The 18,500-nt window shown below is 34.8% G+C and overlaps 1 protein-coding gene and 1 pseudogene across 1 annotated transcript in view; one reads left to right on the top strand and one right to left on the bottom strand.

The window, feature by feature from the left end:
- The window catches only part of PIGK (phosphatidylinositol glycan anchor biosynthesis class K), a 130,442-nt gene that overhangs the window by 7,861 nt on the left and 104,081 nt on the right, over positions 1-18,500 (top strand). The window contains exons 2-3 of the mRNA NM_005482.3: positions 1,081-1,134; positions 4,839-4,930. Of these exons, the coding sequence (NP_005473.1) occupies positions 1,081-1,134; positions 4,839-4,930 (146 nt within the window). The remainder of the gene's footprint in view (positions 1-1,080; positions 1,135-4,838; positions 4,931-18,500) is intronic.
- LOC100421400 (alanyl-tRNA synthetase domain containing 1 pseudogene) lies at positions 16,101-16,752 on the bottom strand (annotated as a pseudogene).

The following is an 18,500-nucleotide window of genomic DNA, read 5'->3' as shown; positions in this document are numbered from 1 at the left end:
CACGAGGATAAAAATTATCTGTATGGCATTACTAAAAGTGAAATATTAATCTTTGGTTAAATTCCTGGCATATGCATTTTTACCTTGCCTTCTCACTGTAGAGAGTGATCACTTTAATAGAGGAATTATCAGAGTACAACCTAAAAGGAGATTTTGAAAGTTACAACTTTATAGTACAACCTTTATGTAATAACCTTCTTACCATATTCTGAACCTATCAACCATGCGGTTTCAGTTTTCCATAGATGACTCTTGATTTGTTCACCGAGAGTAAAGGCATTTGGACCATGGATTCATTAATTCAAAAAATATTTATTAAAAACCCACTATATGCCAAACTTACTTGGAATACATCATTGAATATAACTGATGAAAGCCCCTGCCTTACTGAAGCTTACATTGTTTTGGGAAAGACAGACGATTAATACACATAATAAATAAGTTAATTATATATATAATGTAAGAAGATGATAAACACAGTAGAAAAAATAAATTATAGTAAGAAAAATGGTGGGGCGAGGTTGCAGTTTTAAATAATAGCCTTGTTAAATGTTGAACAAGCAGATTGTACGTTCTTAATTGAACATACATTCTACTTTCTTAATAATTCTCAGGGTACGGGAAATAGAAAGATATGAGTTATATAGTAAGTATGCTTTCATTTGAGTAATGCTAAATAATATTTTAAAGCAGAAGCTCTTGCACATATACCTTATAGTTCTCTAAAAGAGCCCTGTGATGTAGGATTGGCATTGCTTTCATTTTGCACATGAGGAAACTGAGTCTCCAGGGAGGTTAAGTATCTTAATCAAGGTTACTCTGTTTAATTGGTGTCTAAGCCAAGAATGAAACCCAGTTCTCCAGATTTCCAGTTCAGGACTTTTGTCCTTATAGTGTCTTAAGCAATAAGCTCTTTTGATTCTTTGTGTAGTCCATAATGACAAATACTGGAATCTTCATAAACTTACGTAAGATGATTGTTATTACAACTGTAAAAACTACACGAGTCTCAACTGTCCATTATCAGTCTTTATTCTGAGAAATTGTGCCTTTTTCTTCTATTTGTTTTGCTTTATTTAGGATCAAGCAGAACAATTCTTTAGAAGTGGCCATACAAACAACTGGGCTGTTCTGGTAAGTATACTGTAAAAGTATACCTTGCTGTTCACATTAGATATGTATCTGAGAAATTTGTGTGAATCAAATTTTTGAAAATACAATTTATTTTTTTACATTTTATATCAGAAATTCTTTATTTTGATTTGGCTATATTTTAAATTGACCACATCAACTATAATAATCTAGTAATATTCTTTGTCCTCAGAATATCTGTCAAGTGGTGATCTGAAAATAAATGTAAGAATAAATTAGGAATGCTATTGTTAAAGGAAACATTTTATAAGAGGTAGAAATATTTTAATGCTGGAAACTACTAATTGCATCTGTTATTTATAGTATTAGTTGATAGATACTTTCTACTTACACTTTTTAAAATTTTTTCAGTTGTTTTTTCTGCTTATAAAAATAATAAATGACCACTGTAGAAGTTCAAGTTATACAGAAAAGTTTAAAGAAGGCAGACTAATTTTGTTTTGTGAATTTCACCTCAATTAAAGAAGACAGGGAAAATGGCTTCAAGTCCCACATCCCAGAGTTAATATTTTGGTGAGCATTGTTCAAGCCCTTTCCCTCTTCATATATAAGCATAAAGATATATAGATATATGATTTTATATAATTGGGATCATATTATACCTGCTATTTTGCAACCCTTTAGTATTATCTTAGGGATCTTTCCCTGCCAGTAGGTATGGAGACATATAATCTTTTCCAAAAGCTGTATTTTCTTCTGTTTTGTGAATGTACTGTAACCTCCAGTTTATGGGCATTTAGAATCTAAATTTTTTGTTATTGTAAACAGGGCTGTGTTGAACATTCTTATACACATAACTCTGTGACCTGACTGATTTTCTCTTTAGGATAAATTCCTAAGTGTAAGAATGTGAAGTCATGGAGCATGATTGCCTCCAGAAAGACTGTGGGTCTTTTTCTAAATTCAAGTCAGCTATGTATTCTTAATTTTTATCTTAACTTTTTGACTGCTGGTCAACACATTACATTTTGTTTTAATTTGCATTGTTTTGATTTTTAGTAAGGCCTGCTTATTGGCCCTTTTTTTTTCTTCTGCCTTTTGCCCAACCTTAGTGTGAATTACCATCTTTAATTTTTCTGGATTCAGAAATTTGTAGTTTTAATTCCTCAAACAGAATTCACATAATCAAATTTGTTTTTCCTATGCTTGGAAAATATTTGGATAATAGTTTCATTACTGGAGTTTCATTTAATGGCATTTATATGATTAGAAAATATAATGTTGACTTAATGAAAAAACATGTACAAGGATTGGACTGGAAGAAACAATGGGGAAATAGAGAATAGGTTCAAAGAGGCAGGAAAGGAAGCTGATTTTGTGAAAAAGGGAGCAGAGAATGTACAGCATCTCAAAGCCAGTAATGCATGTTGGAAAAGGAAGAAAACTGGGGATTATAAATGGTAAGAATATAGTGGGAATGTAAAGGAGATGGATAGAGGAATTCAGCTTAAAGTGCAGAATAAACATGCAAGACTATAATTAACTTACTGACGCCAAATGAAGTTTGAGGCTTTGTAAATTTATTGAGAATCATTTGACAAACACATTTGATAAAAATATAGATAATGAATTATCTATAGGTTCCTATAAGTAAATAGGGTGATTCCAAGTTCTATACTTGTTTGTTTTAAATGTAATAGCATTGTGATTAAATAGGACAGTGTAACATGGGTCCATGGCTCATTTTCTTGTTCTTCAAGAAAAAAACCTCTTATATATGCTACCCTTCACAAGAAATTTTTCTGAAGTTACTGAGAAAAGACTGCTAAAGATAAGGAGAGAGGATTTCAATGCCTACTTAAAAGTAAGGAGAACTATTGGGAGCCAGGCCATCATCTACCAATTTGACAGGATAAACTTTTTCTACAGGAAACTAGGAGCCCCTCCATGTTCAAGAGGCAATAACTGCCTATGTGCAGACCACCAATTGCAAAGGGCTTATCTTTTGGAACTAAAATACTGTTAGCTTATACTGACACACATATGAAAGCCTTCCTTGCTCTGGGAAACCTCTAACCAAACCTCTCTTCAATTTCAGTAACCTGGTAAAAAATAAAAGATGAAAAAGAAACATTACTGAGCATTGTATTACAACTACAGTTTTCTTTTTTTTGTCCAATATTTTACATATTAGTATAGTGAAACTTTAATAAATTATATTTTATTTTTTAAAATTAAAAAGGGAGTTTTTGGAGATGAGGTCTTGCACTGTCTCCCAGGCTGGAGTGCAGTGGTGTGATCATAGCTCACTGTAGCCCTGAACTCCTGGGCTCAAGTGATCCTCCCACGTCAGCTTCCCAAGTAGCTAGAACTACAACCACAAACTACCACTCCTTGCTAAATTTTACATTTTTTTTTGTAGAGATGGGGGTCTCATTGTGTTGCCTAGGCCGTTCTTTAACTCCTAACCTCAAGTGATCCTTCCATCTTGGCCTCCCAAACTGCTAGGATTATAGGTGTAAGCTACTGTGTCCAGCTAGAATTTTATGATATTTTTGATATATGGAATTTTACATTTTTATATAGTCAAAAATTTAGTCTTTTCCTGATTGGATTCTAGGTTGAAAACTTAATTTAAAAAAAAACCATGTAGTTCCTTTCTGTTTGTCAGGGGCAAGAACACTTATGCTGTTCTCAAAATTGTCATTATACCTACTAAAGGCACAGGCATGTGATAGAAGCCGGGATTGTACTTGGTAGATATATTACCAAGTGACCCCAATCTATATTTACCTACCTTAGAATGGGTTCTGAACAACACTAACTTTTGAGGCATGGAATTAGATTTTCCTAGCACCTTTAATATAATTCTCAGGAATTTTTTTAAACTATAAAACTTGGTTGGATTGTTTCTAATTTTCTCTTGAGTTCAATAGCTTCTTTATAATGCACTCTCTTATGTACATTTACAACTGTTTTATATGTTATGTTTTATCCTGTGTCCTACGTTTCTCACAATAAAGGAAGCAATGTGGAATGAAACAAATATTGTATAACCCTATGTAGCTAATTTTCTTCTCTATTCTGTGAAGAAATTATGGGCATTGTCTTTGATTCTAAAGAATTTAATTTTTTAGAAATAGGAATGTTACTGAGTCACAGAAATTGTGATAACTAAGTTGGTTCAGTATTTGATTTAATTTCCCAAAGATATGCTTTCTCTTAAGCTGAATGGTTTTTTAAAATCTAATACTAGTTATGAAAGACTTCTCTTTGGAGCGATTAGTTTTACTGACAATTCTTTTTTTGTTGAGACAGAGTCTTGCTCTGTCGACAAGGCTGGAGTGCAGTGGTGCCATCTCCACTCCCTGCAACCTCCACCTCCCAGGTTTAAGCGATTCTCATGCCTCAGCCTCCCAAGTAGCTGCAACTACAGGTGCACGCCACCACACCTGGGTAATTTTTGTATTTTTAGTAGAGGTGGGGTTTTGCCATGTTGGCCAGGCTGGTCTCGAACTCCTGGACCCAAGTGATCTTCCCGCCTGGGCTTCCCAAAGTGTTGGTATTACAGGCATGAGCCACTGTGCCTGGCCTTTACTGACAATTTTTTGTGTTTGCTGTTTTAAAGCCTGAATTATGGCATACTGTTTCTTAGAGATCTCTGTATCCTACTTAAAGAAAAATACTCTGCAGCTCCATGGTTAGCCTTGATGCATAAAAATTCTGTTTTTGTTTTAATACTTCAGGTGTGTACATCCCGATTCTGGTTTAATTATCGACATGTTGCAAATACCCTTTCTGTTTATAGAAGTGTCAAGAGGCTAGGTATTCCTGACAGGTAAGAAGCCTTAATAAAGCTTAACCTTGAACTTCAGTGAAAATAACCCTTAGATAATTGTTATTATATTTGTATTTTGTGTTACTTTTGAAAAAGGTAAAAAAAAAAATCTGATTTGAAGATTTTTTGTTCTCATTAGAGCATACTACCATGTATAAATTAGATGTTACTTAAGACCATAATGACAAATTATATAAAAGAACAAATGCTAAGGTAAAAAGATTGGATAAAATATAATTATTTAGTGTAATGTATTTAATTAGTAAATGGCTCAGTCAGGGTTTTTAATTGCAGATAATGGAGTGCAATTCTGATTGATTCAAGTGGAAAAGGGATTTATTGAAAGCATATTGATTACCTTGCCAAATTAGTGAGAAGGTTGTATCCTTTAATAGCCAGGAACAAGGAAGCCTAGATATTAGAAGAGACATAGCAAAAAAATGACCTAAAACAGTCTGGTGACAATAATGGAGCTGCAAATTGCTGAAGCCTAGACTCAGCTACTGCATAGCTGCTACTGTTTGTTTCCTTTTGAAACTTAATGTTGCTATTGCCTCCTGCTGCCAAAATTTGAACTTTGCTGTCCCAACTTCTTACTGTCTCTCTTATAGAGGTCTTGGTGGGAATGTTATATTGGTAAAGTCTAGGTTCAGCACCCATGTCTGTGCTGCAGGGTGACTGGAAGAGCTAGTATATGGCATTATTAGCCTCTATATAGGAAGGTGGGCTTTGCTTTATATGAAGACTCGTAAAGTGGGAATTTTCCTACTTGTAGGGAGTGAGTTTAGGTAATAGGCGGTATCCCCACACCTTCACTCAGAGCATGTCTTCTACATTGTTTTGTCCATGATAGATTTGTTTTTCCTACTACCAAAGCAGCTATAGCAAGAAACTGTAGTCAATTCAGTTATTTAGGTTTGATTTATTTAGTACCAGTGAGTCAGTGTGGAAAGAGCCTTGTAGTTAGATATGACTTTGAAATCTGGCTTTAATGGTGATTTTTCTTTAAGTCACTTTACCATAATAAGCTTGTTTCTCATTTGTTACATGGTAATAATAGTACCTTCTTTCAGGATTCAAGTACTTCCAGTAAAAACAAATAAGAGTTATGCATAAAGTGCTGCAGGAACAGAAAGGAAGCAGTGAATGACTGAGGAAACAAAGTTATATTACAGTCTTTGTGAATAGATCATTTCAGTCTGAGTAACTGACAAAACTATAATTTCCATATTTCATCTGGAAATCATGGCAACTAGATAATATTACTATTTTAAAATTACATTAAGTCTGAGAAGGAGGTTGATTTGTTATATCAAGTGTATAGATATAATTCTTGTCATTTGTCAATTGGTTTTTCTCAAATAGGCCTATGTAGTTAGCTTTTGGTCTTTAACGGCTCTTGCGTCTATACTGGATATACTCTTCTAGAGAATCACTATGCATGGCTTGGCAATAGTTTTTCTTTGGTAAATTAATCTTTCTTCTATGAGTCAATCATTAAGATATATTTAAATGATTTAAGTTAGATTTGGAAGGAGTTTTTAGGAATAGACAATAGCAATAGGATGTATTTTGTATATTATGTTTAGTAGGTTTGTCCTTAGGTTTCTGAAGAATGTTATTTAAAAGCTTATTTCTGTTTCAAATAATTGCTTATCTATAACTGTGTTTATGAAGTCTTTGTAGTGGGGTAATTAAGGATTTAAACAGTTGGTGATTTAAGCCATTTGTTATTTAATAAATAGAAATCAATAGAAAAGATTCTGCTCAGCTAGTATTGGGTAAATAAATAAATGTATGATTTGGAAATATTTTATCAGTTGTGCAAAGCAAACACAGTTTGTATTTTAAAAGTAAAATATTTATATCCCCTAAATTTTGTTAGTCTAGTGTTAGAATATCAGGGGAATCAGCCCCTGATATTTCAACGTAGGTTCTTTTCTATTTTTCCTAAGTGTCGGCCGGTCTGAGAAATAAAGGGAAAGAGTACAAAAGGGAGAAATTTTAAAGCTGGATGTCCAGGGGAGACATCACATGTCGGCAGGTTCTATGATTCCCCCTGAGCCGCAAAACCAGCAAGTTTTTATTATGGATTTCAAAAGGGAAGGGGTGTACGAATAGGGTGTGGGTCACAGAGATCACATGCTTCAAGGGCAATAAAATATCACATGGCAAATGGGGGCAGAGTGAGATCACAGGACCAGGGTGAAATTAGAATTGCTGATGAAGTTTCATGTCCCACTGGGCACGCATTATCATTGATAACATCTTATCAGGAGGCAGGGTTTGAGAGCAGACAACCAGTCTGCCTAAATTTACTAGGCAGGAATTTCCTAATCCTAATAGGCCTGGGAGCGCTACAGGAGACTGGGCTTATTTCATCCCTTATCTGCAACCGTATAAGACAGACATTCCCAGAGTGGCCATTTTAGAGACCTCTCCCTAGGAATGCATTCTCTTTCTCAGGGCTGTTCCTTGCTGAGAAAAACAATTCAGCAATATTTCTCCTATTCACTTTTGTAAGGAGAAAAATATGACTCTGTTCTGTCTGGCCCCTTAGGCAGTCAGGCCCTAGTCAGGAGATAACAAGGTTATCTCCCTTCTTCCCTGAAAATCGCAGCCATTGTATTCCTTTTGGATGCCCAGATTTCATATTGTTCAAACACACATGCTCTACAAACAATTTGTGCAGATAGCACAATCATCTCAGGATCCTGAAGCAACATACATCCTCAGTTTACCAAGATGATGGGATTAAGAGATTAAACTAAAGACAGGCATAGGAAATTATAAGAGTAATGATTGGGGAAGTGATAAATGTCCATGAAATCTTCACAATTTATGTTCAGAGATTGCAGTAAAGACAGGTGTAAGAAATTATAAAAGTATTAATTTGGGTAACTAATAAATGTCCATGAAATCTTCACAATTTATGTCCTTCTGCTGTGGCTTCAGCTGGTCCCTCTGTTCGGGGTCCCTGACTTCCCCCAGCATTAGAAAATGTTAGTATGATATTAAAGATATTTTAATAAATAGGTTGCCAGAATTTTCTAATATTTGAAAATATTGACTCAGGGAAAAGGGTTATTATGGTTCTGGGAGAAAATGCAAAGATACACTCATAAGACCCTCATAAGTGCTCTGTAGCTCGAGTATGACCAGTTTCTTATCTAAGTTCCATGCAGGTGAGGTTTTTGTACTTTGTACCCACACAAATCTCTAACCTTATGGAGATTATGTTTTTATTTGCCTGGTTTTAGCTTCCTAAAATGTTTCATTATTTTTAGGGAATTTTCTGCCCTCAAATAATTGTTTTGGACTAAATCCCTGTTTAGCTACCTTCAGTATGTTTAGTATGATTAAGATGAAGAAAAGGCATTAAGTAGGGGTTAGGTTCTAAGGTTAGTATGTGAAGCAAACATTGAGCCACAATCACTCCTGAAAGTTTCCCAAATAGCACATAAATTGCAGTTTAGTATTGTCTTTCATCAAGTCTACCACAGCTAGTTTTTCCTCCAGTGCTATTACTATTTTCTTCGTTTGCACAGTGAATAAAGTGGTTTACTTATGATTAGAGCCATGTTTATGAAAAAATATACATATCTTTAACACTAGAATTGTGTTCTCCATGCTCTGCGAAGCACATGGGAATTGAGGCTGACTGAGGGAATGTAGAATCATAGCTCCCATTCCTGTTTACTCTAGGGAATAAATGCATTTAGTATTAGATTGAGAGACATAATCTGTCTCTGTCACGCTCTTTTGGCTGAGTGCAAAAGATTTAGTTCACAGAGTAAAATGTCTATATAATGTATTTAAAAATACAATTTAGCTCTACTACAGGTTGGGTGGATGTGAGTTTATGTAGTGATCCCTGTCTGATGCATTGTTTCTATAAAATCCAATAGCTTTTCTGAGTCCATCTAACACTGTTTTTTTTCTTATTCTGTATTTCAGTCTTTTGTGAGATTAATCTTCCTAATTTAAAACTTTTATTCTTTATTTCCTCTTACTCAAAGCTTTTTAGAGTATTTAGAATAAAGTTCAAATCACTTATCCTGGTACTGAAGACTTTTTGCAGTCTGATTCCAAATCTGACATTCTGATCTTTCAGTTTCAGTCTCTTACGCTCCAGCCATTTTCTTCCTAGTCACTGTATTGTCCTTCATTACCTTGCACTGGTCGCTCACCTACAGTTCTTTTCTTTCTCCTTCCCCTCTAGTTTTCTGATGTCCAGATTCAATCCATGAATTCCCTAAAGCTTTCTGGGTCTTTCTTGCATAAATACTGTATTTGTGCCTCTCTTTTGGCACTTTGTTACATGTGTTGATCTTATATCTTCAAGGCTGGATGTTATACTATGTATTTCTCACAGTGCATTCTTTGGTATGTTGTTGCAGAGTGAATGAGTGAATGAATAGTGTGCTAAAGACCCATAGCTAAGTAGAACCTCATTAGTCTAGACGAGAAAGGAAACTTTTATGAATACCATTTACTTATATTCTCTTAATCTTGTTTCTCAACCCCCACTGAGCTAACAGTGCTGTATAGTCTGGTTGTTTTTAGTCAGGTATTTTTTTTTTTTTGATTGTCTCACTCCATTGCCCTGGGTGGGTTACAGTGACACAAACACGGCTCACTGCAGCCTCAACCTCCTGGGCTCAAGTGATCTTCCCTCCTCAGCCTCCCAAGTAGCTGGAACTACAGGTGCGCACCACCATGCCTGGCTAATTTTTTAATTTTTTTGTAGAGTTGATGTCTCACAATGGTGCCCAGGCTGTTCTTGAACTCCTGAGCTCAAGTGATCCTCCCACCTTGACCTCCCAAAGTGCTGGGATTACAGGCACTGAGCCACTGTGCTGAGCTATAGTAGATTTTTTTTTCTTGTTTTTTATATTTGAGACAGAGCCTTGCTCTGTACCCCAGGCTGGAGTGCAGTGGAGCAACCTTGGCTCACTGCAACCTCTGCCTCCCAGGTTCAAAGGATTCTTGTGCCTCAGCCTCCTGAGTAGCTGGGATTTCAGGTGTGTTTTTGTATTTTTAATAGAGACAAGGTTTTGCCACGTTGGCCAGGCTGGTCTCACACTCCTGGCCTCAAGTGATCCACCCACCTTGGCCTCTCAAACTACTGGGATTACAGGCTTGAGCCATTGTGCCCAGCTATAGTTGATTTTTGTGAACTGTCTTCTAACTTATTCTTGAGGGATCTATGGCTGGGGCAATCTTACCAGGGCACTTCAATTGATTTATTTCTATCAGAAATCCGTAAGAGTCTTGCCCAAAACAAGTCACCCTTGACCTTATGTATTACCATTTAAGTTCCTTCAGGATGCATTTGTTTCCTTTTTGTCTTTTGTCCCTTTTAACTTCTTTCCCAGTTAATAAATATTAGAATTAGAAGTAGGAGCTATTTGGTCAGTTATGTAAATTCTGGTAATGTTTCTGTAAGTAGAAAAAGTCACTAATTTTTGTTATTGTTGTTTTTTAAATCATGTTGATCATATAGCTTTTGCCTATTGCTCTTTATGCTGCTGTGGATTTGGCCTTATACGTAAGAGGACATTGTTTGAAGTGGAGCGTTAATAAGCTGTTTAGCAATCTTACTGTATGGTAATTCCTTAAAATGCTTCTTTAAAAATACTTGTGGCTTTCTGTTCAATAACAGCTGCCAAAATGGATTCCCCTCCCTCTCTTGTAATACACATTCACTATCCACCATAATTCAGAGACTGTGTTAGGAATTTTATAATGAATTATTTTATTTATTCCTTGAGACCTTTATGAGAGATTGTTTTTTCACATTTTACATACTAAAAATGGTTGCTCAGAGTGGTTAAATGACTTGCTTAAGGTCAATTAAATATTAATAAAAATAGGATCACAATTTGAATTCAGGTCTTCTGACTTTATGGCCAGAGCATTACTGTTTTAGCACAGCTGTCTTCTCCCCAAGAAATTAAAACAATTAATATTTGTGTAACATTTATAATGAATGAATTCTTTTAATATACATTGTCTGATTTTATTTTTATGACAATCTATAGATATTACTACAATTATGCACACTCATTAAATACCTTATTCTAAAATGTATATAATATACATTGTCTCATTTTATTCTTATGACAGTCTATAGATATTAGTATAATTATGCATACTCATCATTAAATACCTTATTAAATTCTAAAATGTGTATATGTTGAATGTGGTGACTAGGGGGTGTGCAAAAATAGTTAATATTAAATAAATATAAGAAATGCTTCTCTGATTTTATCATTTTCTTACTTTTTTCATATTTTTATTTTTACTTTTGTCTAAGACTTTATTATTTCATGCTTCATGTACTTCATGCTTCTTCAGTATTCATGTACTTCAATATACATTGTAGCTATGGTACGTGCTTCTGTACTTCAACCCTTTTGTAGCTGTTTATTCCCTGCTTCTAGTCCCTTTCCCCCTCCAACTCATCCTACACATAACTGTTAGAATTATTTCTCAGACACTGCTTTCATCTTTTCACTTCCACAATTAAGAACCTGCAGTAACTCTGTTGCCTTTCTAACAAATCCAAAATTTTCATCCAGGCTTCAGGCCTTAACTACTTTATTAATTCCAACTCAATATTTTCATTTGTTGATTTGTTGTGACAACTACTACATGGTTACTTTCATTTCTGTTTTTGGTGATTTAGCACACCTAGAATTTAATAAGGTATTTTAGTGATGAGTGCACATAATTATACCAATCTGTATAGTGTCATAGGAATAAAATGAGATAATGTATATTAAAATAATTTTCTAATTGTAAATGTTACATGAATATTAACTGTTGTAATTCTTGGGGAGAAGATAGCTGTGATATAAGTAAATGCTGTGGAACCTAGAAAACCTAGAATATCTTGTGTTCTTTTCTATCTAAATATCTTTTGTTCCTTTGTTTCCCTGTGTGTAGAACTTCATAGATTGCTCTGATTAGGGTGGTCACTGATTTTATTTTTATGCCATTACAATTCATTTATTAAAATTTCTAAATGTATTTTACATTTATTATATTACTATTTTATGTTATTTTAATATATTGATAATCATATTTGGTGATTTTGTCTCATTTTTTATGAACAAAAGGATTTTTCCATCCTGCAATAAGTTTTGTAAATAATTTGCAATGTACAATCATAGTTATTGTGAAGATAATTTTAACTCATGCCTTTGAATGTTCTTCTCTTGTCTCCTATCACTTCTCAACAGTTTTTTCTAAAATACTTCCTAAAAATATAAATAATAGTGTTTGAATAAGTATACTTATGTATTCTGAACAATCTGTCATTTTATTCACATATTGGCAGCTGATCTGCCACTCTACATGATGTTCCTTGTGGAGAAGTGTATAATATCTTGAATAGAGAAACACTTAGAATAGTTAGGAAGTTGAAATGTGTTCTGAGGAGAACAGTGACAAGGTAAAAGGAGAAGTTTGGCCACTACCTTGATGCTCTTATGTTTAGATCATATGTAGGACCAATTTGCAAGTCTAACAAGACCATGAATGGGGTTTATGAAGCATAGGGGAAATTTCTTTATTGATTTGTAAATAGATAGGAAGATTTTGATACTGAAGAGAAAGATGCTTATTCCTTCACCAATACCACAATGTCTTTACTACTGTCACTATCTTTATATCTGTTAACTTCATTTCCTTGGCTTTATTCTTTTTTAGAATGGTCTTGCCTATTCTTAGGTCTTGTTCTTCCATATTAATTTTGGAATTGGTTTGTCAAGTTCTTAATCCCTGTTAGGATTCTCATTGGCATTGCAGTGAGTTTATAGATTAATTTAGAGAGAAGGGGCTTCTTTTTGGTATTAAGTCTTTCAATTTATGAATAAGGTTTATCTATTTAATTACGGGTTTAATAGCATTCAAGTTTTATAATTTTTTAATTTTTCTCCATAAACATCTTTGGTAGCTTTTTAAAGTTATCTTATTTTTTGTTATTATTGTAAATGGTACCTTTCCAAAAATACATTTTCTAACTTCTGTTGCTGTGTATGCAGTTGATTTTTATATATTGTTCTAGCAACTTGCTAAACTCCTATTAATTCTAATAATTGACTATAAATTTTTATTTTTGATAGCCATAAAATCTTCAAACAATGAGTTTTCATCCTTTCAAATCTTTGTACCTTTAAAACATTCTTTAATCTTCAAAAGCTTTTCATATTTAAAAAATTTGGAATAAAAGTAATCTTTAAAGACCTCAAAACTAATAGTGCAGATAAATTCTTTATTTTATACATGAGAAAAATGTATTATTGAGAGGTAACGTGATGTTTACAGTTAACAGCTGCATAGTGGCAGACCTAATACTAGAATTGGGTATTGAGATTATATTATACTATGTTGCCAAATTCATCAGTGTAAATAAATGTAATAATAAAGAAAAAGGATAAATGAAAGCAATTCATTGAAAATAAAGATAAATGCCAATATGCTTTATGAAATTGATGTCTGCATGATAATTTTTATTTGATTTACTAATAAATAATCTAATAACTTTACCAAAATTACAGTAGCCTATCTTCAGAGCTTTTTCCTTTAATAAGCTTTCTTTAGAGCTATTTATTTCCATTTGAGGATAACTCAGCAAACTATTTTTATTTTCACTTTGGTATTCCTAATAAGGTGAACCTATTGGTGTCTTATATCTAATATTTATGTCATAATGTACAAAAACTTGGTTTCCTGTGATGGCTTTGTTAAATAACTTTGTTTAATGGTTGCTTTAAAATAAATTATAAACTAGTTTAAAATTCAGGTGCTTTCAAGGATTGTGTAAACATAAGAATATGACAACTTAGATGGGAGGCAGTTAATAGTGTTTCAGAATATAAGCCCCAGAATCAGACTACTTTAGTTTAAATCATGGTTCTGTTAGTGAGTTAGGCCAGACCACAAAGTTTAGCCTTGCTTCAGAGATGGGCAAAAATGATGACTTTACTTAAGTTGCTTTTACTCAGATTACTATCAAACCAACAAAGAAGTAATACAAAGCATATATGTGACGAGAACATGAGTGGCTGCATTGCCTCTCTACTTCCCTTGTTTCTCACTGTGGTGATTGTGAAGTTTAGCAGTTGGCACAGCCTGCAGAGAGTAAGAAATCAGACAGGGCAGAGGAATTCAGAATAGTCTGTAGAACAACTGCTTTGTCACCTGAAGTTCTACCTATTATTACGTAAGACAATTCTTCGCTGTGCCTGAGGTTCATGTTTACATGTTTTACTTCTTCCTGTATCATCAGGCCTTCAGTAAACCTGGAAATAGCCTGAGAATGTCACTATTCATTTTTTGATCTTGGAAAAATTAATCTCTCTTGGCCTTAGTTTTTTCATCTGTAACAATACTTAGAGGGGAAACAATACTTAAAAGGGGTGAATATTTTTGGTTGGCTGGCCCAGCTGTAATTCCCAGCTTTGTTCTCCTTTGCTTCATTATATAATCTCCTGAATCAGCCTATCATGTTTTCTAATTACGTTGATTGCATTGGTTTAGCATTAACTTACTTGGCATTAATTTAATGATGCCAAATACTAGTTTTATTATTACTGTGAGAGTGTTAAATATCATTAGAAAGATCATAAAAAGGCATATACAAAAATTAACTCAAGATGGATTACAGATATAAATGTAAGATCTCCAACTAAAAATTCTAGAAGAAAACTTAGGAAATACCATTCTGGATGCTGGCCTTGGCAAATAATTCATGGCTAAGTCCTCAAAAGCAATTACAACAAAAATAAAAGTTGACAGGTTGTACCTAATTAAAATAAAGAGCTTTTGCACAGGAAAAGAAACTATCAACAGAGTAAACGGACAACCTACAGAGTGGGAGAAAATATTTACAAACTGTGCATCTGATAAAGGTCTAATTTCTAGAATCTATAAGGAACATAAACAACTCAACAAGCAAAAACCAAATAACCCCATTAAAAACTGGGCAAAGGATATAAACAGACACTTCTCAAAAGAAGACATACAAACGGCCAAAAAACATGAAAAGGTGCTCAACATCACTAATTACTAGAGAAATGCAAATCAAAACCACAGTGAGATACCATCTCACACCAGTCAGAATGACTTAAAAAGTCAAAAAATAAAAGATGTTGGCAAGGCTGCAGAGAAAAGGGGACACATTTACACTGTTGGTAGGAATGTAAATTAGTTCAGTTACGGTGGAAAGTAGTTTGGAGATTTGTCAAAGAACTTAAACTACCATTTGACCCACCAATCCCATTATTGGGCACCTACCCAAAGGAATATAAATTGTTCTACCATAAAGACACATGCACTCATATTTTCATTGCAGCACTGTTTACAATAGCAAAGACATAGAATAAACCTACATGCCCATCAACATTGGACTGGATAAAGAAAATGTGGTACATATACACCATGGAATACTATGCAGCCATAAAAAGAACAAAGATCATGTCCTTTCCAGCTACATGCGTACAGCTGGAGGCCATTTTACTAAGTGAATTAATGCAGGAACAGAAAACCAGATACTACATGTTCTTACTTATAAGTGTGAGAGCTAAGCATTGAGTACACATGCACATAAAGATGGGAATAATAAACACTGGGGACCTCTAGAGTTGGGGGGAATGGCAAAGGCTGAAAAACTACCTATTGAATACTATGCTTAGTACCTGGGTAGCAGGATTATTAGTACCCCAAACCTCAGCATTACACAATATACCCATGTAGCAAACCTGCATATGTACCCCCTGAATGCAAAATAAAAGTCAAAAAATGTATATATTTATACTTTAAATATATAGATATATAAATATCTAGATTCTATATATTCTGTATATATATGAAAGGTCATAAAAAGTAGATGTTTGTAAGTTGAGCCATTTTTAGTGATGACTTGTGTACAGACGTCACAGGAATAATAAGCCTATTAGCAGGGAAAGGAGAAAGAAGCAGATGTTTGCAGAATAACTAGTCACATTAGCACATTAGTGGCAAAATACTGGAGCCCGTGAAGTTCCACCAGTTGTTAATGTTGATATATCTAGAACTACTTTTGAGTTGTAATCTCTGTAAGGCCTTATTCTTGAATTTCCGTAAAACTGTGTGCCATTTTAATAGTCATTCTTTTCTTTTTTTCTGAGTCAAACTATTTTATTGACCAAAAGATTCCTGTGGAAACAGGAAGTGAGCACCCTAAGCTCTCACTCCTTAGCACTCTGCGTGCTGATGTAGTCCTGGAGAAGTGCCTGTGCCTCCGCCCGCTGGCTCAACTTGGTGGTCTTGCCCTGAAAACAGCCTTTCTTCCCTGCTCCTTTGCCTTCCAGGACCTCAGCCACCCTGGGCCCCAAGGTCTCCACAGCTGCAGGTCGCCCTGCCAGTAAGAAAAGTCCAGCACCTTTCTCATCGCCCACGGTTAAGAACAGGAGGGTCTCCTCTGACCCAATCTCATTGGCAATGATATTCATGAACTCTGAATCACCCTCCTTCCTGTGTAATATGACCACACCTCACCAGTCTGGGTTGTTCCTGCTATGGGCAGTGTGCACAGCCAGGTCTCTGAGCAGATTCAGGTTATTCTTCTGCAGGAGCTTGGTGGAGTTTGGAGCTTTTTCACTGCTTCCACGTGATCCTCTGCTCCACACTTAAGCAGGAGTAGTCAGTGCTTTTTCAGTTCCATGACTTCTGTCCATCCATTTGACCACCTGGTTCCCTGTCCGAAATATCAGGTTGGTTTTGTTCTTTTTCCGTTTCTCAGTGCCCAGAATCTTGATGACCTGGTCACTGAGTCTTTTTTTTTTTTTCTTTTCAACGTTTATTTTAGGTTCAGGAGGTACATATGCAGATTTGTTATATGGGTAAATTGTGTATCACAGGGTTTGGTGTACAAATTGTTTTGTCACACAGATAATAAACATAGTACCTAATAGGTAGTTATTTGATCACCACCCTCCCCCCACCCTCCACCCACAAATAGGTTCTGGTGTCTGTTGTTTCCCTCTTTGTGTCCATGTGTACCCAGTGTTTAGCTCCTACTTATAAGTGAGAACATGTGGCATTTGGTTTTCTGTTCCTGCATTAATTCACTTAGGATAATAGCCTCTAGTTTCATCCATGTTGCTGCAAAGGGCAAAATTGTGTGTTTTTTTATGGCTGTGTAGTATTTCATGGTGTTATGTACTACATTTTTCTTTATCCAATCCACTATTTATGGGCACCTAGGTTGATATTATATATCCCTTATATAACAGCAAAGTAGAATGACTTATATTCCTTTGAATATGTACCCAGTGGGATTGCTAGGTTGAATAGTAGTTTAAGTTCTTTGAGAAATCTCCAAACTGCTTTCCACAGTGGCTGAATCAATTTATATTCCCACCAGCAGTGTATAAACATTCCTTTTCTCCACAACTTTGCCAGCATATGTTATTTTTTGACTTCATAATAGTCATTCTGACTGGCATGAGATGGTATCTTACTGTGGTTTTGAGTTGCATTTCTCTAATGATTAGTGATGCTGAGCATTTTTTCCTATGTTTGTTGGCTGTTTGTCTTCTTTTGAGAAGTGTCTGTTCATGTCCTTTGCTCAGTTTTTAATAAGGTTGTTTATTTTTTACTCATTAATTTTTTTAAGCTCCTTATAGATTCTGGATATTAGACCTTTGTTAGATGCATAGTTTGCAGACATTTTCTCCCAGTCTGTAGATTGTTTACTCTGCTGATGGTTTCTTTTCCTGTGCAGAAGCTCTTTATTTTAATTAGGTCCCATTTATCAATTTTTGTTTTCGTTGCAATTGCTTTTGGTATCTGCGTCATGAAATCTTTGCCAGGGCCTATGTCCAGAATAGTATATCCTTCTTTCTTGATCTAGCTTTAGTGATTCCTTGCAATTAAAAATAATGACTAGAATAAATATTAAGATATAGAAAAGGGTTAACAAAGCCCTTTCCTTCTGTGTAAGAATTTGACTTGTGTTTGCTTTCTAACTTTGTTCCCTTGGAAATATGACAAAGGCAGGCAATGTTGCTTATGGTAAAAATGTTCCCTTATTCATTAGATGACTACAACTGGACTAGGATGAATAAATGATGAATGCCTGAGGAGAAAGACATATCTTCGGGCTTTCCAGAGTGCAATGATTCTTGTAATTGAGTCTGTTCCTTTTAGACACCCTGAAAACTGTATTTATGGAGTTGCTACATAAGGCACAAACTCCAGTGTGGCATGTAACTTCTACGCAAAGGTGGATATTCTGCTCAGCCATTGTAATTCTCTTTTCCTCCTACCTGAGTTGTCACCGGAAAGAACAAAGCTTAGGAGAAACACACACACACACACACACACACACACACACACACACATTCTCATGCCACACTGTCAGCTAACAGTCTGATGGAAACTGTTCTTACTGTGTTATGTTATATCTCTTTAAAAGAAATTAAAAGGATAAATTAACATTTGTGAAAAGAATTTGCTTCCTTTGGAGGAAAGATATTTCACAGAGTTTTATATTAATGGTTTCTAAGAATTTGGCCAA

This window comes from Homo sapiens, chromosome 1 (genome assembly GCF_000001405.40).
Source record: "Homo sapiens chromosome 1, GRCh38.p14 Primary Assembly".
NCBI classification, from domain to species: Eukaryota; Metazoa; Chordata; class Mammalia; order Primates; family Hominidae; genus Homo; species Homo sapiens.
This window is presented reverse-complemented; position numbering and strand designations above follow the sequence as displayed.